Source organism: Homo sapiens, chromosome 4 (assembly GCF_000001405.40).
Source record: "Homo sapiens chromosome 4, GRCh38.p14 Primary Assembly".
Lineage (NCBI taxonomy): Eukaryota > Metazoa > Chordata > Mammalia > Primates > Hominidae > Homo > Homo sapiens.
The window spans coordinates 5,410,987-5,431,928 of NC_000004.12; the positions used below are offsets into that span (position 1 = coordinate 5,410,987).

The following is a 20,942-nucleotide window of genomic DNA, read 5'->3' on the forward strand; positions in this document are numbered from 1 at the left end:
AGGCCTGTTTCATGAGGTGAATAATCCAGTCACCTCCTAAAGGCCCCATCTCTTTTTTTTTTTTTTTGAGATGGTGTCTCACTCTGTCACCCAGGCTGGAGTGCAGTGGTGCTATCTCAGCTCACTGCAAGCTCCGTTTCCTGGGTTCATGCCATTCTTCTGCCCCAGCTTCCCAAGTAACTGGGACTACAGGTGCCCGCCACCATGCCCAGCTAATTTTTTGTATTTTTAGTAGAGATGGGGTTTCACTGTGTTAGCCAGGATGGTCTCAATCTCCTGACCTCGTGATCTGCCCACCTCGGCCTCCCAAAGTGCTGGGATTACAGGCGTGAGCCACTGTGCCCGGCCAGGGCCCCATCTCTTAATGTAGTTGGTCCTCTGTATCCATGGGTTCAGTTCAACCAGCCGTGGATAAAAAGTGGTCAAAAATGATTTCGTAGCAGACAAAAAGTAACAATGAAACAATAAAAAATAATACAAATACAAACAATATATACAACTAAAAATAGCTACTTGCATAGCCTTTCCATTGTATTAGGCATTATAATTAATCTAGAGATGATTTAAAGTGTGTGGGAGGTTGTATGCAGGTTAAATGAAGTACTAAGACATTTTATATAAAAGGCTTGACTGTCCATAGATTATAGTATTCCTGTGGTGTCCTGGAACCAGTTCCCCATGTGAATACTGAGGCATGGCTGTAACTTATTTGATTAAGTTTCAACATATGAATTTTGACAAATACATTTGAACCATAGGAGCCTCCACCAAGAACCCAACCATGCTGGCACCCTGATCTCAGACTACTGGACTTTGCAACTGTGGGAAAGAAATGGCTGTTGTTTAACTCACCCAGTTAAGAGCATTTTGTTGTAGCAGCCCAAACTGACTAAGACATAGAGATACCACTCTCTGTGGTAGTGCATTTCCTGGTAGTGGAAGTATGAGCGCAAAAACTAGAGTAGAAAAAGCTAGTCTATCAATCGTGTAAGTCCTGGGGTCAGTTTTGAAGAATTAGTGAAAATCTACCAAGAAGTCAAGAGGGAAGAACATTCCAAGGGGTGTCAAAGGGTTGGAAATGAGATGAATTTCCATGTGTTCAAAGAAAGAAGAGATGCATGTCTGGAGTACAGGATACGTAAACAGGCCTGGGAGCACGGTTATTGATTATCGATACTCCATTAGCATTTGTATTAATGGGTCATACACAATGTCCTGATCTCCTTCTCTTTGATTTTTGGATGTTTTCAGTTTATGGAAAGTAAACCAGTTCGTATTTTCACATTCTATAGTAAACTTTCATTCTCCTGAGAAGGAACTCATAGGAAATCTTGTTGGGCACTAATTTTCACTTTCCTACATCTTCGGTTGCCCATTAGATGAGGCCCACTGGGAAGTCACAGCTCATCAGTTAGCATAGCCAGGGGAAAGCAGAAGTGGAATCCTGCTGTCTGTCGTGCAGGGTGTTGCCCACTGTACCTGAATTCCTGGGTGGAAGCAGCATGTCTGTTCCAGAGCAACCCTGAAGGCCAGGAGGTAACGAGATCAGGACTGTTTGACCCAGCTCTGTAGGAGGAGAGTGGGACGGGGAAAGCTCCACTCTGGCTTCTGCATATATCAGCCTTGAGACCTTGGCCCCAACACTAGTGACTGGAACCTCAGGTTATTATTCTGTAAAGACAAGGTTAGTAATACCCTCCTCTCAGTAGCACTTGAAGGATTAAGATGAGATTTGACACCTATTCTGCACCAGTTATTAACCCTAAATAACAGTGGCTTAAAGGAGCCAGGGGTTGCATTTTCCCCCTCTTTATGAGTTTCCCTGCTTTGGTCCTTGCCCCTGTAATCCATTCACAGCAGCTGAAAGAGTATTCAAAATTGAGTCCGATCATATCAAAACCCTCTCACTTGGAGTAAAGCCACCATCCTGTCTCAGCCCAGAAGGTCTGACACATTTTTCCCTTCCCTTCCTGAGCTCCTTTCCTACTCCTTCCCTTTTTCTCCCTGGCATCTTTGCTGGTTCCCCACACAGCCCTTGTGCTGACATTCCCCTCTGTCAGCTGCCCTCTTCCTCCAGAAACCCTGTTGACAGCTTGCTTTCCTCTTCTTCAGATCTTTGCTCAAATGTCATGTTCTCAGTTCCTAACCATCCTGTTAAGCCCTATAACTACCCCACAAGGCCCTATTAATATTATCCCCTTCTTACAGTTGAGGAATCTGAGGCTTTCAGAGCTTAAATAACCTGTCTAAGTCACATAGTCAGTAAGGGTCTGCATCAGTTGGGATACTAGCAGTAGCAAGGAACAAAGAGCCCAACTTAAACAGTCCTAGATAGTAAAGGGTATTTTTTAGCTGAAGTTCAGTGGAATCAGGCTTCAGGCAGGCTTTGATCAGGCTCTGGCACCATTTCTCTGCTATACTTGAAGCTCTGCCTTCTCCATGGACAGCCTACATCTTTATGCTGTTTTTCCTTGTGGTCGCAAATAGCTTCTGCAGTTCTAGGGAATCATATCCATGCATGACACTGTCCAAAGACAAAGGATATCATTTTGGGTAGCTCCTGAAAATTGGAAAATTATAAGAGAAACAACACTTAAAACAAAATTAACATTATTTGCATTTTTAAAACTTCTTTATAGCAAAAGGCACTATAAACAAAGTCAAAACACAAACAATAGGCTAGGAGAAAATATTTGCAATACACATAGCAGAGAAAAGGGCAAATGTATCTTGAAGACAAGGAGCTCCCAGTGAAAACTGACCAAGGGTCTGAGAGGCTGATCACATGGGAAACGGGCAGCCTCCTCTGCAGCGAGGTAACATTTCTCACCATATAACTTGCAAAACAAAACCACTGATAACAACTAGTGCTGGCAAAGTGCAGAGAAATACACATGCTCATATTCTGTTTATAGTGCCATCAATTATAACTTTTTGGAACATAATATGCGTACCCTTGGTCCCAGCAATCCCACTTCTGGGGATTTACTCAAAATAAAAGTACTAACATGTAAAGATATATTCAGGAATTCTTGTCACATATTCTATAGTAACAAGACAAACAATTAAGCAAGCAAAATTGGAAACAACCTGAATACCCATAATAGGGAATTGCTGAATAAATGATACATTGTATGATACAGACATCCTATGGAATACTGTGTAACTATAGGTCCATGGCTTCTTATCTGAAACCCTTGGGGCAGATATGTTTTCATAATTTAGAATTTTTTTCAGATGTAAAAATTCATTTATATTAAATAACATATATGATAATAATATAAAATAACGTGTTTAACACAATATGTAATAATATCTTAAATAATATATTTTTATACTATGTAATACTCCATACAGGTTTGGAGGAACACCTTGTAATCAAATACATTAATATTTCTACCGCAAAACGTGGATATTCATCCAAAATGGAATAAATAAAACTAAAAAAGAATGTTTCGGGTCAAATCTTACCACCAAAATAATTGTGGAAAAAATTGGACTTAGAATGGAGGATAAAGGATTGTGGATGTCATAGATAGACCTATGTATACTAGCTTGGGGGACATTGGGGAGCACTGTGGGTATATATTCTTAGGCACACTCCATGATACATGGCTAAATTCAAAAGTAATTTTTAGAGTGACCCATGCAGTATGATCTCATTTGGTTTGCAAGAACAAACCAAAGCCCCCATATATATGGATATACATTTGCATAAGCAAAGAGAAATCATATATACATTTGCATAAGCAAAGAGAAATCATGGAGGAGCCAGATGAATTGTGTGATTGATTACATGGGGGTGGGAGAGACATTGAGGGGCTTAAAGGGGTAACCCAAAAACATGTCTGTATTCTTTCACTTATTTTAATGAGCTGGCATCACTTTCATAATGAAAATACCAAACTTTTGAAAGAGGGAGAAGGCGCAAGAAAACCAAACAAAAACCATATTTGAAGGCTTCATAGTCCTCTTCCAATGCTGACATGTGTCACTCTGTTTGGAACTGTGTGGGTGTGGGGTACAGCAGTGACTACAACATACACTCACCTTCACATGCCTCAAAGTGCAAAACAGTAATGAGTTTGCTTTCTTGTTGGTATTAGAAATAAGGGAATAGGAGGGTGCAGGAGATAGATTTGTCCTGGCTGGAGAAGATGGGTTTTGAGCCACTCCTCGGCAGGATAATAATGCTAAAAGCAAACACTTATGAGAAGCTTCTCTACTTTCTGCATGTCACCATCACTCTAACCGTTTCATGTGTATAAACTCCCTGATTTCTGCGACAGCCTTCTGAGATGGGTATTTTATTATCATCATCCCATTTTATAGGTGAGGAAACTGAAGCCCAGGGAGATTAAATTATTTGCCCAAGGTTATACAGCTACTCCCAACAAAGCTGAGGCCCAAACCAAGGCAGTCTGGCTCAGAGTGTGTGCACCCAACTACTACTACACACTGCCACTTTTCAGACAGGACCATGGATGGTTGAATAGAGACATACTCATCGCAGCCACAGGGAGGGGCCTGAGGAAGCCCCAGAGGCTAAAGTAGCCTGGGTATGTTCTAGGAATGTTGCCTAGGTAGGAATACTGTGCATCCCAGCAAAGACCTGGTTGGGTGACTTCAGCTTCATCCACAAGTATCTGAAGAGTATTATGGATCCTCACTGAATAAATACCTTGCTGCTGCATCTCACCTAGGATCACTGGACAGATAGTTGGCTGAGCAGCTTGCTCACATGTCAGTGCTGGCAGTTGAGTCTGAGATTAGAGGGTGGTATGTTAAACTGCTGGTGCTTTTTTTGTCCACTGTAGCCGATCACATCAGGCATGCCCCTCCCATATGTAGTCCCATGGGCTTCTCAGCATGCCTCAATGCACCTGCTCCAGAATGTGTTTTCCCATCTCTTGGTGATGCCTTCCAAGTCCCTCAAAGTCAATTTTGCATGTGCCACCCATCTATGCATTTAAGTCCCACATGCCAAATGCCACTCTTAGGTTTGGTGAAAATCCAGCCAGCCATTTTCACATGATGTGATGACAGACAAATAGAGAGAAATGTAATTGCAGTTATAACTATTATCCAAGGCTTTCTGAGCTGGAGTCTTATATGTACCAAATTCCCCAAAAAGCAAGTACTGACCAAAATTTCCCAAAAAACAAGTACTGACCATTTGGGTGTTTCCTTCCTCCCTGTCCCCTTCCTTCCTTCTCTTCTGTTTCCCTCTTTTATCTGCACATCACTTAGTTTCCTTCCCTTCTTCTCTTTCCCTTTTCCTTCCTTGTCATGTTTCTTGAACACCTACTTTGTAGGTGCACCCAGCCTATCCATGCCCATCTGCTGCCATCACTTCATCCTGGATGGAAGGTGGTCTCAACACCACAGCCTTCTCCCTACTAAATTCCTCAATTACAGTACTAAGGTCTCCAATGACCATAGCGGACAAACAGCAGAACAAACAGTGTCCTCTGGGTGGGAGAATCCTCTTCACCTACCCCCGCCCCAGCCATAGCCCACCTACAGTTTTCCTGAGAGAAGGCGTCTGGAGTGACCTGTCTCAGTTATTTCTAGGAGCTTTAATTCTCCACATCAGTGTCTCCAAACTTTTAATTCATAAAAAATGTATCCTGCCCCTCAATATATTTATGTAAAAATAATATGCATAAGTTACCAAATGAATTTACATTCTGAAACATGCACACAAAATAAACATTTTTAAAGTATCAGATACGATAGTATTATAAATAGAAGTTCTAATGTTTTCTTCACGGTATCTCACCTTGCAAACCACAGCTTTAAATAACCCAGCTGCCTGCAGCCCACGCTAACTGGAGTTTCTGTTTCTGTATTTGCAGGACATGTTCACATTACAGACTTCAACATAGCGACGGTAGTGAAAGGAGCAGAAAGGGCTTCCTCCATGGCTGGCACCAAGCCCTACATGGGTGAGTGTTCCAGGCCCCTTCTTTTCATGTGATCGGGCTCACTGCCTAAGACTCAGCATCCTTCTCTTGTTTCATCTGCCACTGCCCGCTGCCACATACCCTCCCATGCTCACATGAGGTTCCACAGTTCCCAGTAGATACAATGCTCCCTCGAAGCTCTGGACCTTTTCCAAGCTGTCTCCTCTGCTAGACAACCCCTCTCCTCTTGGTTTTCTAGAGAACTCCTGCTCAGCCAGAGAGCCATGGCTCAGGCTTGAGAGGGTGGCAAACAAAACAAGTATTTTCTTTTCCATTTATGTTCAGTATTTTCCAGAATTTAACTTGGTGGTGGTCATTCTAGGTCTACATTCTTAGGCACACAGTGTTCTTTCAATGTGTAGTTTTAAATGGTTTTTTAAGGAATTTTTATGGGATTATTGTTTTTAGTTTGCATTCTGTTCTCTTGTTTTTATCTTCTTGGTTATGGATGCCTCTTATCTGAATGCTGGATCTTCTTTGCCAATCTTCAGCATTTGTCAGTGTCCCTCAAATCTTTATTACCTCTTCCTTCATTTCTTTAAAAATGTTCTCATTGTTATATTTCTCTTCTCCCAAGGCATTATCTATTGTGTTTATTTGTTTTGTGTGTTTTCTACTGAAGTCTTCATTTCTGAAATCATTTTCCCTTTATTTCTTTCTCCCTAAGTTCTCCCACCTGATTTCTGAGTTTTTTATTCTAATTAATGTTGTTTTTCAGGTCTTATATAATTTTGTTAATATCTTTATTACGTGTTAATTCTGAATGTCTATATTGTTATCAATTACTGTGTAACAAACTGTGTCAAAACATAGTGGTTTAAGACAATCACAACGTTATTTCTCACAATTCTTTTGGTTGACCAAGTGGTTTTTCCTCAGGTTTGGCTGGGCTCACTCATGAAGACGCATTCAACTGGTAGGTCAGCTGGGAGCTAGGTTCAGCTAGGACAGCTGAGATGAACATATCATTCTTTCTCTATGTGGTCTTTCATCATCAAAGTGGCTAGAGTGAGCTTCCTCACATGCAGTTTCAAGATGGTAGAGCCAGTTCTCCCATGCTTCTCAGGACTCTGCCTGCTTCACATTTCCTGGTGTTCTGTTGGCCAAGGCAAGTCACATAGCCAACCACGTGGAAGGGAACTGCATGGAGCATGGCTATCAGAAGGCTGATGCACTGGGGAACCATTAATGAAACAACCCATCACTGTGTCTTTTAACTCTTTTGAAACGTAGGCTATAGTTTCATTCTGTTTTATCAGCACATCTTTCTGTGTGTTTTTATTGCAATGATGTTATTCTGCTCTTCATTCTCCTTTTACTTATAATAACTTGGTATGGAATTTGACTTTGATACTTTTCTGTTGCTCTTTTGTTTCAGTAATTGTTGATGATTATTAATATATCATATGCATGAGTTTTATGCCTAGATAATCCCCATTTACCATTGCAAATGATATAAGAAATACATGTTTAAGGCTAGAAAATGTAATCAGTGCTGCACAAAGGTGCACAAACATTTAAAGCCCATATTTCTCCATACCTTTCTTCCAATGGTTACTGCTATTAATGTTTTTCTTTTATTTTCCTTTTTCAAATGGAAGAAGGAGGCCTTAGGAAGCATAGAATCTGATAACTGGATGAAGCATTTATAGGCGGTACCTAACCAGAGGTACAACTTTTGCCGCAGAAAACTAACCACTGGGATGAGGAGTCCACCATCTTGGCTGAACTCTCTGCTGCTGTCTGTCATTCAGCAGTGAAAATGCCCTGTTCCCAGTTTGGCCTCACTTAACTCTGGCCAGGTTGTGCCTTATAAGGCACTGTATATTGAATTAAACAACCAAAATCTTTCTTCCCTGACCGCATAAACAGTGCCTAAAACCGCCTGGAGGAGTTAGAGTTGCACATGGGTATTGCAGTGGGGGAGGAGGCTTAGTTTGGACATGGTGGAGGGTTTGAATTCCACATGGCCTGAGGAAGAAGAGACCTCCCTGAGCCCTTGGCAAAGCCTAAATTCCAATCTATCTTCATGAACACTAGGTTTTTGGGGATCGGCTATAACTTTCTTATTGTCTTCCTTACAGATATAAAAAGAAATGACTATTTCCCTGGAAGGATAAATTCCACCTTTAGACTTGAGATCAAAATAGAGCCAGCTGAGGGGCCTCCAGCAAGAGAGAGGGGTAGAAATTGCTCATTTTATGTGAACTTTGTTTTTCTAAACTTTTAGAAGATGGTGTGGTTCAGGATAGCGTTCCTAACTTAACAGACCTATCTGTTGTATTGTTTGGTGAAGTGTCAAAATCTAAGGCAGCTTGCTATCCAGGTTTCCTGGCTTTGTTCTCCTCTCCCATTTTTATCTGGAGTTCTTCTTTCCTTTGTCTGTAGGGTCTCTGTCCTGAGGCAGTTTGGTTCTACTTCACACAGTTTTTCCTTGGGGCTTTTTCCTGGAAGGAGTTGTGGCTGGGTGGATTATAGACTTTTGATGTCCCAGACTCTTCAGTCTCCTTCAGAATTTATCAAGAGCCCTTTCAATGCCCCTGATACTAGACTGTACAAACTCCTACCAGCTTCAGCCGCTGTTCTCAAAGTCGTTGTCTGTGTTTCCCAGTGAATACCTGCTGAGTATTTTGGAGTTCTTTGTTTTCTGGTCCATAGAATGCTGCTTTGTTGCTTCTCTTGGTTTCTTTCCGTGTAGAAATCACTACCATGCGCTTCTTGTCACTGTTGTGTTTTGCTGCTACCCACCTGTATTTTGAGGGTTGTAAGGAGAACTTATTTTTGTAGCAAATGCATCCATGAGTTTTTGGTTTAGTGATCTATTTGCTCTGTTTTATATGCAGATTTGGGGAGATTCAAAATCTATACCATCATATCCCTAGAATCCACTACTCATGTCATTAATCTTTGATTTATTAAATAAATAGAATAAATGAAGTTTGACTATAAATACCTGCAATGGTATAAATAATAGGCAACTTGTTTTTGGGTATTTACTATATGTCAGGTACCGAGCTAAGTGCTTTCCACCTATAATTTCATTTAACATGAAGACAGGCACATTAACTATAACCTATAACTTCTTTTAATGCCCTCGAACATGAAATAGACACAAGTATTTCTTTCCATTTTAGAGTTAAGGAAATGGAGGCTTAGGAGGTTGGGTGACTTCCCCATGTTGACATTGTTGGCAAGAGTCAGACCCAGGTCAATGTGACTCCAAAACCCAAGCTCTGAAGTACATCTCAACCTGGACTCCCATGACAGCAACTCCTTTTTAGCAAAAATACCAGCAGATATCCATATAAGTGAATTCATTCACTTATAAGTAGTCTTCATGGGAGCCTGAACACTTACTCCAACAAGGCTTTTTTTGTTGACGACCTTTCTGAGATCGCTTTCTGGAAGGACCTGGAGCTGGGGCAAGTCTGACCAAAGAGGTCACTGCCTTGAGATTCAAGAGAGATCAACTGGGCGAGATTCAGCAACTGATGGGATGGAGAATGGGGGCAACGGCAACTTCTCGGGTCTCTGGATTGTGCAGCAGAGTGGTGCTCACTCTGTAGGGGACCCAGCAAGAGCAGTAGGTTTGTGAAGTGGCATGATGCAGACTGGACATGTGGATGGAGAACCTGCCAGCACTGAGATGCAGCACAGCCATGGAAGTGGACAGGATCCCCCAAGGAGGATGCAGGAAGGCAGAGAACCGATTCTGAGGCTCAAGAATGCTGTGCTGGAAGGGGCACGTGGAGGCTGAGGGGGACATCCCACAGGGGAGTGCTGAGAAGAGAGATGCCAGGTAAGGGCAGCAGCTCCCATTAGAAGCCTCCTCTGTATTCCTACCGATTCGTTCTGACTGCTTTCATGCTGTTTCCGAAAAGCAAATTGATGTCAAGGAGTGTAGATCCTGGACCACTGGAGAAGTTCGAGACAGTTTTTTTGTTTTGTTTTGTTTTGTTTTTTTAAGACAGAGTTTCACTCTTGTCACCCAAGCTAGAGTATAATGGCATGATCTTGGCTCACTGCAACCTCTGCCTCCCAGGTTCAGGCGATTCTCCTGCCTCAGCCTCCCAAGTAGCTGGGATTACAGGCACATGCCACCATGCCTGGCTAATTTTTGTATCTTGTTTTTGTTTTTGTTTTTGTTTTTGTTTTGAGACAGAGTCTTGCTCTGTTGCCCAGCCTGGAGTGCAGTGGCGTGATCTCTGCTCACTGCAAACTCCACCTCCTGGGTTCATGCCATTCTCCTGCCTTAGCCTCCCAAGTAGCTGGGACTACAGGCACCCGCCACCACGCCTGGCTATTTTTTTTGTATTTTTAGTAGAGACGGGGTTTCACTGTGTTAGCCAGGATGGTCTCAATCTCCTGACCTCGTGATCCACCAGCCTCGGCCTCCCAAAGTGCTGGGATTACAGGCATGAGCCACCATGCCTGGCTAATTTTTGCATTTTTAGTAGAGACAAGGTTTTACCACGTTGGCCAGGCTGGTCTTGAACTCCTGACATCAGGTGATCCATCTGCCTCAGCCTCCCAAAGTGCTGGGACTGCAGGCATGAGCCACCACACCTGGCCAAGTTCAAGGCAGTTTTCTACCAGCCCTGATGTCTCTGCCTGCATGTGGCACCATGCCTAACAGACTCACTCGAGCCTCCTCAAAGGCTCTACTGGGGCTTCCTGACCTTGCTCCTGCCTCACACTGTCTGAGGCAGCCCAGTCCAGGTTCTTGGTCTCCAGGAAAGCAGAGCCATGGGGACCCAGCTGGGCACTCTCCTCCATGGCCCTGCTTTCAAAAGGGAGAAGAAATCTGACCTGTATTGGGACCTCGCTACCTGCCTGTCTTCACATTTAATCCTCAGAAGATTCACATGACGTTTCTACATCTCTTATTTTATGTGTGAGGAACCAGAGGTCTGGAGAGGTTAATTAACCTGCCCAGGGCCACACAGCTGGTCAGTGAAGGAGCCAGAATTTGAAGCCAAGTCTATTTTGATCTGAAGTCTATGCTTTTGCTACTACACCAAGCTGCCTTTTTGACACTGAGCTCCTGAATTATAAAGACGACTTTCTCAGCCAAGAAATAAGTTCATTGTCCCAGCTGTATGTGAGAGTCGGGGTTACTGATGGAAAAAGCTTTTCCAATTAGAAAAGCTTCAGGCCTGACTTAATGGCCAAATGTACAGAAGAGATTTTTATAGGCTTTAGAGGACACAGCTGATTTTCCTAATGGTTGTATTTTCAGACACTGTAGTTGGGGAATAGTACCAGGCAGTGGGAGTTTAGTGGGGAAGGTGGAGTTAAGGGAGAGCTCTCTCAATAAAGTCAAATCTTGCAGCTCCTGGGGCTGTAAATTCCTAATGCCAAGTGGCAGGTTTGTTTATTTCACTCACTTGAGCTGTTCAGTTCAAAGGCCCAGTAACAAGTTCCCAGAATGTTCCCAACACAGATTCAGAAAATGGGCTGATGAGTAAGCTCCCAGAGGTAACTCACAAAAGATGATCCCGGAAGAAAAATTTGCATAGGGCTGAATTTTCATTAATTGAAAGAGCAGATGGAATTTGCAATTGGAGAAAAAAAAAGATCTCTCTAAAATGTGCCAGATTAGAAGTCAGAATGTTCCAGCAGCCACGTGGGGCTTCAGAGTTTATTAATTTGAGGTGAAATGAAGAGCAAGGCATTGATTCAGTAAACATTTACTGAGTGTTTAGGAGGTACAGGGCTTAGTTAGGCACTGGGGCTGCAGAGCGGGGTACTGCTCTCCCAGTCCTCACACAGATTGTATGAACATAGTTGTACACAGGGCACAGTCAAGGAGGACGATGGTGTGGCTATTGGAAGGAGGTGCTTCTGGCATGAAGAGGGGGAGATGAGATCTTTTTGGACAGTTTTAAGACAGTTTCCTGGAGAAGGTGACAATCTGAATTAGACTTTAAGGATGTGCTCTGCTGGGTAACGATAGAGAGAGGGCATTTAGGCAGACGGAACAACCCATACAAAGGCATTGGGGAGTGAAGCACCATTGTGTGAAGGGAGAACTTGGCAGCTCCATTGTTTTGCAGCTTCTGGGACAAGAGGAGGTGGGGAGGGAGAGAGCAGACAGGGCAAAGCACAGGAGTCTTGAATGCTGTGGTGAGAGCCTAGGGAACCAGTGGAAGGTTCAGTGCTGGAGACCACTATGATCAGACTCATAGGATTAGGGCCTCAAGGGTGGTGACCTTGGAGAAACCGATGAGTAACAGGAAAGCATTAGGGGTCAGGCTCAAGGGGGATGGTCCAGGTGAAGTGTGGGCTTCAGCATGAGGCAGCTGGGTGTCTTCCACTCAGTGGCTGAGTGAACCTGGGTGATTCTCATTACCAGACATGGTGCACATAAAGCACTTACCATGATGAACACTCAGGAAATGTTGGCCACTGAGCCACAGGACCTCTCAGAATCCTCGTCTGAGAAATGGGATTAATGGTTTATGCAGTCAGCCTCAGGAGGTTGCTTTGAGGATTTATTGACATTAATTATAGAAGGCATATAGCATAATGCCTGATGAAAGGTAACTACTCACAACCAGTAGCCAATATTAATGTGGTTGTTCTGATTGCTAATAGTTCGATAATTATTTAGTGTATGCTAAATACTGGGAACACAGAGCCAAATCCAACATTCCCCTGCCTTATGGAGCTCACACTCTAGTTGCAGAAACAGACTAACGAAATCCCAGTTCACTGCAGGGGCTGGGTTGGCCAGGGGATGGTGGGTGCACTAGGGAGATGATGGGGCTGTTGCATTGTCAGTGCTCACCAAATGTCAGTTCCCTTCCCCCAGGACACTGCAGTGAGTCCAGAGGGGTGGTGGTGGTGATGGAAGCAGAGGCCTGTCTGCAGTGCAGGAGGCGCAGCCAGGGCTCCATGCTCCACAGAGCCAATAGGAGCCAGGAGCAGGTGGAAGCCCCGCCGCCCCCTTGTGAGTTGGAGAGGCGGGATTCCTGCCCTCCTGGGTGCAGCTGTAGATACTCAGCTGCAGCTGCAGACCTGGGCATCCCTGTGCTCTCAGGGAAACCCCACTCCCCCCGTAGGCTCAGGGGCACCTGTTCCTGCTGCCTGGACTCGCCCTGCTCCTGGTACCCACTCTGATTTCAGAGTGGGGTTGTGGCCAAGCCTGGGTACATACCAGCCAGGTATGCACATGCTCAGGGCAGCACTGACATGCCAGCCCCCTGCTACCTTGGCCCCCTTTGGACATTGGGCACCAACAAGCATGAGAGAGAGGCTGAAGGGGTGCTGAGGGTGGCTCAGAATTGGCCTGCAGGAGCCCATCAGCACAAACAGCCTGGCCCCCATGAACAGTGGCAGGAGGCAGACAGGCTACTAGGTGGAAATGAGTGGGTCCCCATGAAGCCCCACTTTCAAGCCAGGGATGGTCTGAAGCCTGGGGGCTGGGTCACCAGTTCCACTGACCGGAGTGAGAACTTGTGATGCTTTTTCCAGGCCCACCCATGGCCACCCATGGACTAATCAGCACATACTTCCTCCCCTCTGAAGCCCATAAAAACCCCAAACTGAGCCAGACTGGGGCAGATGTTGGGAAAACCTGCCTGCGGAGAGGAGCTACCTGCTGTGGGTCTCCACCCAGCTGAGAGCTGAACAGACATCTGCACAATCTGCCCGTGGAAAGGAGCTACCCACTTCAGGTCTCCTGAGAGCTGTACTGTAGCTCAATAAAGCACCTCTTTGCGTTGCTTACCCTCCAGTTGTCCATGTACCTCATTCTTCCTGGACACAGGACAAGAACTTGGGACCTGCTGAATGGTGGGAGTGAAAGAGCTGTAACACAAACAGGGCTGAAATATGCCCCCTGCTCACCACGTTGTGAACACAAGAAGGAGAGAAGGGAGAAGGAGAGAAGAGCTGTAGCCCTACAGGGAGCCCAGACTTAGGAGCTCCCCAAGCCAGGGCTGTGATGCCCTCTTTGGGGCTCTGCATTTCCTGGCATCTCCAAGCTTCTGGGCACCACCAAGTTCCCCAGTGGCCACAGTGGAAGCCACTTGCGGTATGCCTGGTCCAGACGCAGCCTTGGAGGGAGCCGGCGCTCGTGCCAGTGCCTGGAGCTGTTCACCCCGCCACAGCCAGGATGCCTAGCTGTGTGCAGTGGCCGGACCCCATGCTCGCTTGCTCACACAACCCTCATGGCTCTGTGCCTGGCTTGCCCTTGGCAGGTTTGGGATCTGGACCAGTAGCACAAGCTGAGTGCAGCCTGCCAGGCCAAGTGAGCAGAATGAGCCATTCAGGCCCAAGCAAAATGCAGGTGAAGGTGCCACCAGCCACAGAAATTTCTGGTTGGTGAAGCAACACCCCAAGGATCCTGTGACAGTGGGGCCACCATGGCAGTGCTGTGCACTCTTTGTAGATATTATTGAGGCCAGGGAAAGTGAAGTTTGCTTCCCAGAGAAAGTGGCAAAGCTGGCATTTGGCCCTAGGTCAGTGAGGCTCCACTGTCCATTATCTTTCCTGAGAACCATTCATTCATTCATTCATTCATTCAGCAGAGATTTGCTGAGCACCTTCTACATGCTAGGCACTGTTCTATGGACTGAAAACACATGTGTGAATAAAACATAAGTATTCCTACCCTCATTGGTTTGGCTGTTTGTGAGGGAGACAGTCAGTTTAAAAATCACCAAACTGATAAATATGGAGTTTGAGATGCTTAGTTTTGAGGAATAATTTTCATGCAGTAAAATGTACTCTTTTAGTGTATAGCTCTCTGAATTCAGACAAACACATACAGTCATAGATAAACACCACCACTATAAAGATATAGATGGGTTCCATCACCCCCACAAAAGTTCCTCATTCCCAGTCCCTGGCAACCAGCAATTGATTTTCTACCCCTATGATTCTGCCTATTCCAGAAAGTCATATAAATGAGATCATATTGTATACAGCCTTTTGAATGTGGCTTTTTCACTTAGAATGATGTATTTGAGATTTACTCATGACGTGTGTATCAGTAGTCCCTTCCTGTTGCTGGATATACATACACGTGTTTATCTGTTCATCAGTTGAGGGGCACCTGAGTTGTTTACAGTTTTACATATTTATGAATAAAGCCATTATGGACATTTGCATACAGGTTTTATATGAGCTTAAATTTCCATTTCTCTGGAATAATTACCTAGAAGTGAGATTGCTGGATCATTTGGTAAGAAACTGCCAAACTGGTTTCTAGAATGGCTGGACCTCTTTCCATTCCCACAAGCAGCGAATGAGAGACCCGGTTGTTCTGTGTCCTTGCCAGTACTTGGTATCGTCCCATCGTTGAGGTCATTAGGCATTCTAATAGGTCAGTCGTGATTTCAGTTTGCAAATCCCTGGTAACTAATGGTGTTGAGCATCTTTTTGCTTGCCTGTTTGCCATCCATATATTTTCTGTGTGGAATATATGTTCAAATCATTTGCCTGTTAATTTATTGGATTATTTTGGCCGGGTGTGGTGGCTCATGCCTGTAATCTCAGCACTTAGGGAGGCTGAGTCAGGTAGGTCACTTGAGACCAGGATTTCAAGACCAGCCTGGCCAACATGGAGAAACCCTGTCTCTACTAAAAAATACAAAAAATTAACTGGGTGTGGTGGTGTGCACCTGTAATCCCACTTACTCAGGAGTCTGAAGGCCAGGAGGCGGAGGTTGCAATGAGCCAAGATCGCATCACTGCACTCCAGCCTGTGCAACAGGGCGAGACTCCATCTAAACAAAAAAAAAAAAAAAAAAAAAAGGAAAAGAAAAAAACACTTACTGGATTATTTTATTTCATTTTGAGAGTTTTAAAATATATCCTGGATAGAATTCCTTTATCAGATATATATTCTAAAAATATTTTCTCCAAGTCAGTGGCTTGTCTTTCTATTATCTTAAAAGAGTCTTCTTAAATTCATTTTTATTTGTTTTACTATTCAGGTGAAGCAGTGGGACTGCTAAAGGAACAAAGAAATCTGTTACCACTTGTGATCAATTAGTTATAAACACCACTATACTTAGACCAATTTAACAGTCTTTTTTAAAAGCTGAAGTTTTAAATTATGATGTCAACTATAAGGTTTTTGCAGTTCTTTATAAGGTGAAGAAGTTCCCTTCTACTTCCAATTTATTCGGTTTTTTAAAATCGTAAATGCATGTTGAATTTGGTCACATAGCATTTCTAAATCTGTCGAGATAATCCTGTGGTTTCTCTTCTATAGTCTGTTGAAATACTGCTGACTGACTTTGAAATGTTGAACCAGCCTTACCTTCCCAGAAGAAACCCTGTTTGATCATAACGTAGTATCTTTTACATATAATCCTTGAATCAATGTACTAATATCTTGTTCATAATATTTACATCTAGGTTCTTGAGGAATTTTTGTCTGTAGTTCTATTTTCTTGTAACAACTTGGTGTGGCTTTGGTATTAGAGTAATGCTGGCAACGTAGTTGAGAAGTGTTTCCTCCCCTTCTATTTTCTAAAAAAAATATGCCCAAGATTGGTATTATTTCTACACATATTTTGTAGAATTATGCAGTGAAGATATTTGGGCCTGGAGTTTTCTTTGAGGGAAAGTTTTTCACTGTGGATTCAATTTCTTTAACAGACATGGGACTATTCTGTTTATCTATTTCTTCAAGAACTAAGTAAATTTAAATAAGATTTGGTAGTTTATGTCTTTCAAGGAATTTCCCTAGTTCATCTAACTTTTCAAATGTTAGGGCATACAGTTATGTGTAATATCCCCTTATTATCCTTTTAATGAGTGTAAATTCTGTAGTGATGTCCCCTCTTTCAGTCCTGAATTGGTAATTGATGTTTTCTCTCTGGTTTTCCTGGTCATTCAGAGTACAGGTTTATCAAATGTATTGATCTTTTTAAAGAACCAGTTTTTGCTTTATTGATTTTCTCTATTATTTTTCTATTTTTTATTTTAATTTCTTCTCTCTTATCTCTTATGCCCTCCTTCTCTCTGCTTACTTTGAATTTAATTTATTCTTCTTATTCTAGTCTCTTAAGGTGGAAGTTTAGGTAATTTGAGACTTGTCTTATTTTCCTCCATAAGCATTTAATGCTATAAATTTTGTTTTAAGTCCAGCTTCAGCTGTATCCCACAAATTTAGATATATTGTGCTTTTAATTTCATTCAGTTAAAAACATTTCTAGGCCAGGCGTGATGGCTTATACCTGTAATCCCAGCAGTTTGGGAGGCCGACGCGGGCGGATCACAAGGTCAGGAGATCAAGATCATCCTGGTTAACACAGTGAAACCCCGTCTCTACTAAAAAATATAAAAAATTAGCCAGGCATAGTGGTGGGTGCCTGTAGTCCCAACTACTCGGGAGGCTGAGGCAGGAGAATGGCGTGAACCCGGGAGGTGGAGCTTGCAGTGAGCCGAGATAGCACCACTGCACTCTAGCCTGGGCAACAAAGTGAGACTCTGTCTAAAAAAAACAAAACAAACAAACAAAAAAACATTTTTCTGACAGTATTTGGGAATTTTTAATATATCTTTCATTGATGTTCAGTTTAATTCTGTCATGATCAGAGAAAATATTTTGTATGACTTCTTTTCTAAAAACTGGTGAAGTTTAATTTATGGTCTAGATATGATCTATCTTGGTTAATATTACATGCAAACTTGCAAAAATATGTATTGTCTTCTTTGGTCCTGTGTTCTATAAATGTCAATTAGGTCAAGTTATTTGATAACATTGCTCAGGTTTTGTATGTATTTTTGTTGATTTTTTGTCTACTTCTTATATCAATTACTAAGATGTAAGTGTTGGAATTCCCAGCTATGATTGTAAATTTCTCTGTTTTTCCTTGCTTTTCATTTAGGATCATTACGTCTTCTTGATAAATTGCCCCATTTATCATTATATAATGTCATTCTTATTCCTTGTTCTAAAGTCTGCTTTGCCTGATATTAATACAGCCACTTCAGCTTTCCTTTGGTTAGTGTTTACATGACATATCCAGTGGTTTGCTGGTAAATGTCTAACAGCTAGTTCTCTGGTAAAGAATAAACAAATCCCCCTAATTTATAGATTTTGATTTCCATGATATAAGGACTCCACCATGGCTGATTTCAAGTTAGCAATGAGACATCATCAAACACAGAGTTGGGAAGAGATGCTAACAGTATGCTCTTGTGAGCCAGTATAACCCTACTCTAGTACATCGCTGATAATATCTTTTTCTATCCTTTTATTTCTAACCTATCTCTTTGTCTTTATTTTTAAAGTACATTTCTTGTAGGCAATCTTTTAAATCCAGTCTAACAGTATCTGTCTTTTCATTGATATTTAGACCACTTATATTTAATATAATTATTGAGGTAATTTTATTTAAATCTATCATCTTGCCTTTTCTTGTATTTGTTTCATTTGGTCTTTGTTCCTCTTTTTCTTCCTTATTTTGGATTAGTTGATCCTTACTTATGATTCCACTTTAACTTCTCCATTGGCTTAGTTTTTATACCTCTTTAAAAAACAATATACATCTTCAATTAATCAGAAAATACCTTAAATCTGTTACAGCATGTGTAATCTTATAATATACCCAAATTCATTCTATTCATCTCTTTTTACTATAAATATATGTCATTGAATTTATTTTTGCTTCAAATAGTCAATTATATTTTGCAGTGGTTAAAAATAAAAAAAAACTTTGCATTTACCTTCTTTTTGCTATTTTCATATTCTTTCTTTGTGTAGCTTCAATTTTCTAGCTGTTATTATATTCATTCTACCTGGAGGACTTCCTTTAACAATTTTGACTATTAAAATCTACTGGTAATGAATTCTTTCTTTTTTTGGTTTGCTTATATAAGGAAAAGAATCTTTATTTCCTTATATTGTTACAAGATATTTTAACTGGATACAGAACTCTGGGTTAAGAGGGTGGTTTTTTTTTCCTTAGTCACTTAAATATTGCCACTCCATTGCTTCTTATTTGTAGTATTCCTGACAGCAAATCTGCTGTAATTCCTATCCCTGTTCCTCTGTAGGTAACATGCTTTTTTCCTTCAGCTGACTCCAAGATTTTCTCCCTCTTTTTGATTTTAGATATGATGTACCAAGGCATATTGGATTTGTTTTCTTTTTGATATTTACTCTGGTTGGTGTTTTCTGAGCTTTTTGGATATGTGGTTTGATTACTCATCATATTTAGAAAATTCTTGGTCATTATCTCTGCAAATATATATATTTTTGACCCATTCTCTCTCTACTCTGCTTCTGGGATTTCAAAACCCGAAGTGAGATGTTTGATATTTTCCCTCACAATATTTACATGCCCTCTTCTCCCCATCCCCCACCACACTGTTGTCTCTTAGTGTTTCACTTCAGGCAATTTCTTTTGACCTATCTTCAAGTCTATTGATAAACCTATTGGAAGCATTCTTTATCTCTGGCACTATGTTTTTGCATTTGTTTGTTTTTAGCATTTCCATCTGCTTTTATAGTTTCTGTCTTTCTATTGAAATCCCCGTCTGTTAACGCATGCTGTCCGCCTTTCCACTAAAGCCTTTGAAATGTTTTAAATTCCTTGTTTGTTAGGTCTGACATCTAGTTCATATCTGAGTATGATTCTGTTAATTTCTTTGTCTCTTCACAATGAGTTTTTGTTTTTTTGTCCTGTGTCTGATAATTTTTTATTAAAATCTTTGCATGATGTAAAGGAAAATGTTTATGCCTGGAAATGGACATGTTTCTTTTACTACTATGCTTTTAGTTTTCTTTGGAGGAGGAGGTAGCATTGAGTCAATCTAATTAGTAGTTGAGCTTGACTTGAGTTTTGTTGTTCTGTGGTTATTTTCAAAATACCAGCTTTAGAGTTGGGTTTTAGTGTGGTTACCAAAGTGTTTTCCTCAATGTTCCTGTTCCACCTTTGACTTAGGGTTTCTCTGTGAATCTGTGCCTTAAATAGGGTCTCTCTCTGTGCTCCTGTTCTCTAGCAATAGGCTTCTGTTTCTAGTTCCTTGACACTTGCTGATGTGGCAGAGGGTGGGGAGAGTAAATGTTTTCTGCTGCTTTGGTTCAACCTGTCTTAGGTAGGCTCTGTGTCAATGGGTCTTGGGGATCTTAGGGGTGATCCTATCTTTCTCCCAGCAATAGGAAACCACTAATGGTCTGATCCCAGGATCATGGTAGGGAAATGAAACTGCATTTGCTAAGGCCCTGAGGCAAAAGAAGCTTGGCCCATGGAACCAAAAGAAAACTAGTGTGACCTGAGCAAAGTCAGCAAGAAAGATAAACCTTGAGAAGTGTGTAGGGCCAGATCATGTATTACCTGTGTGCTACATTATAGCTTTTGGTTTTTTATAGCAAGTTCAATGGAAAATTCTAAATAACATTAATTGCCTTGGATAAATAGAGAATTTGGAATCCTTTAAGAGAGTGGTACTGGATAAACTAACTTTTCTGTCATCCCATACGCTATTTAGAAGTTCATCTCAAGTTTCACATATTGACTGTAAAATGCACTGATTCTAATTCTGTGCTTCCAGTTAGAACATCATTTCTCCATGAAAACTTCCAAAAGTCCTTTTTTTTTTTATTTACTAGTTGAATTGAACACATTTAACATGAAGTAGCTTTCTGATACTGGTGCATCATTTATTTCTGCCCTTTATCAGAGCTTACGTATTTACTCATTAGCCAATTAAACATTGTTTCCTCTCCTTCTTCCTATGCATAACTCTGAAATACTAATGGTCAACAGCTGAGCGGTTTCTTGCATACTTTAGTGAAATGAGCTTTCTATTGCTAGCAATGCTACTAGCATCTCCCCAAAAAGAGAAATTATCAGACTGATGCAGTGGTTTCATGTTATCTCAAATTAATATGTAAGCGTGTGACACCTGAGTTCATTTGACTAGCCAAGAGCCAAAGAAATATAAATTACCCCCCAAAGGATTAAGAGAGAGGCCAGGCATGCTACTTATCTCTTCTTTCCACAGCTT

The 20,942-nt window shown here is 41.9% G+C and overlaps 1 protein-coding gene across 7 annotated transcripts in view; it reads left to right on the forward strand.

The window, feature by feature from the left end:
* STK32B (serine/threonine kinase 32B) overlaps positions 1 to 20,942 on the forward strand; it is a 481,604-nt gene that overhangs the window by 391,601 nt on the left and 69,061 nt on the right. For 6 of the 7 annotated variants that reach the window (XM_047415924.1, XM_047415925.1, NM_001306082.2 and 3 more), the window contains one exon: positions 5,859 to 5,948. The exons of the other annotated variant lie outside the window; for it this stretch is intronic. In XM_047415924.1, the coding sequence (XP_047271880.1) occupies positions 5,859 to 5,948 (90 nt within the window). The remainder of the gene's footprint in view (positions 1 to 5,858; positions 5,949 to 20,942) is intronic. 7 annotated transcript variants of the gene reach the window in all.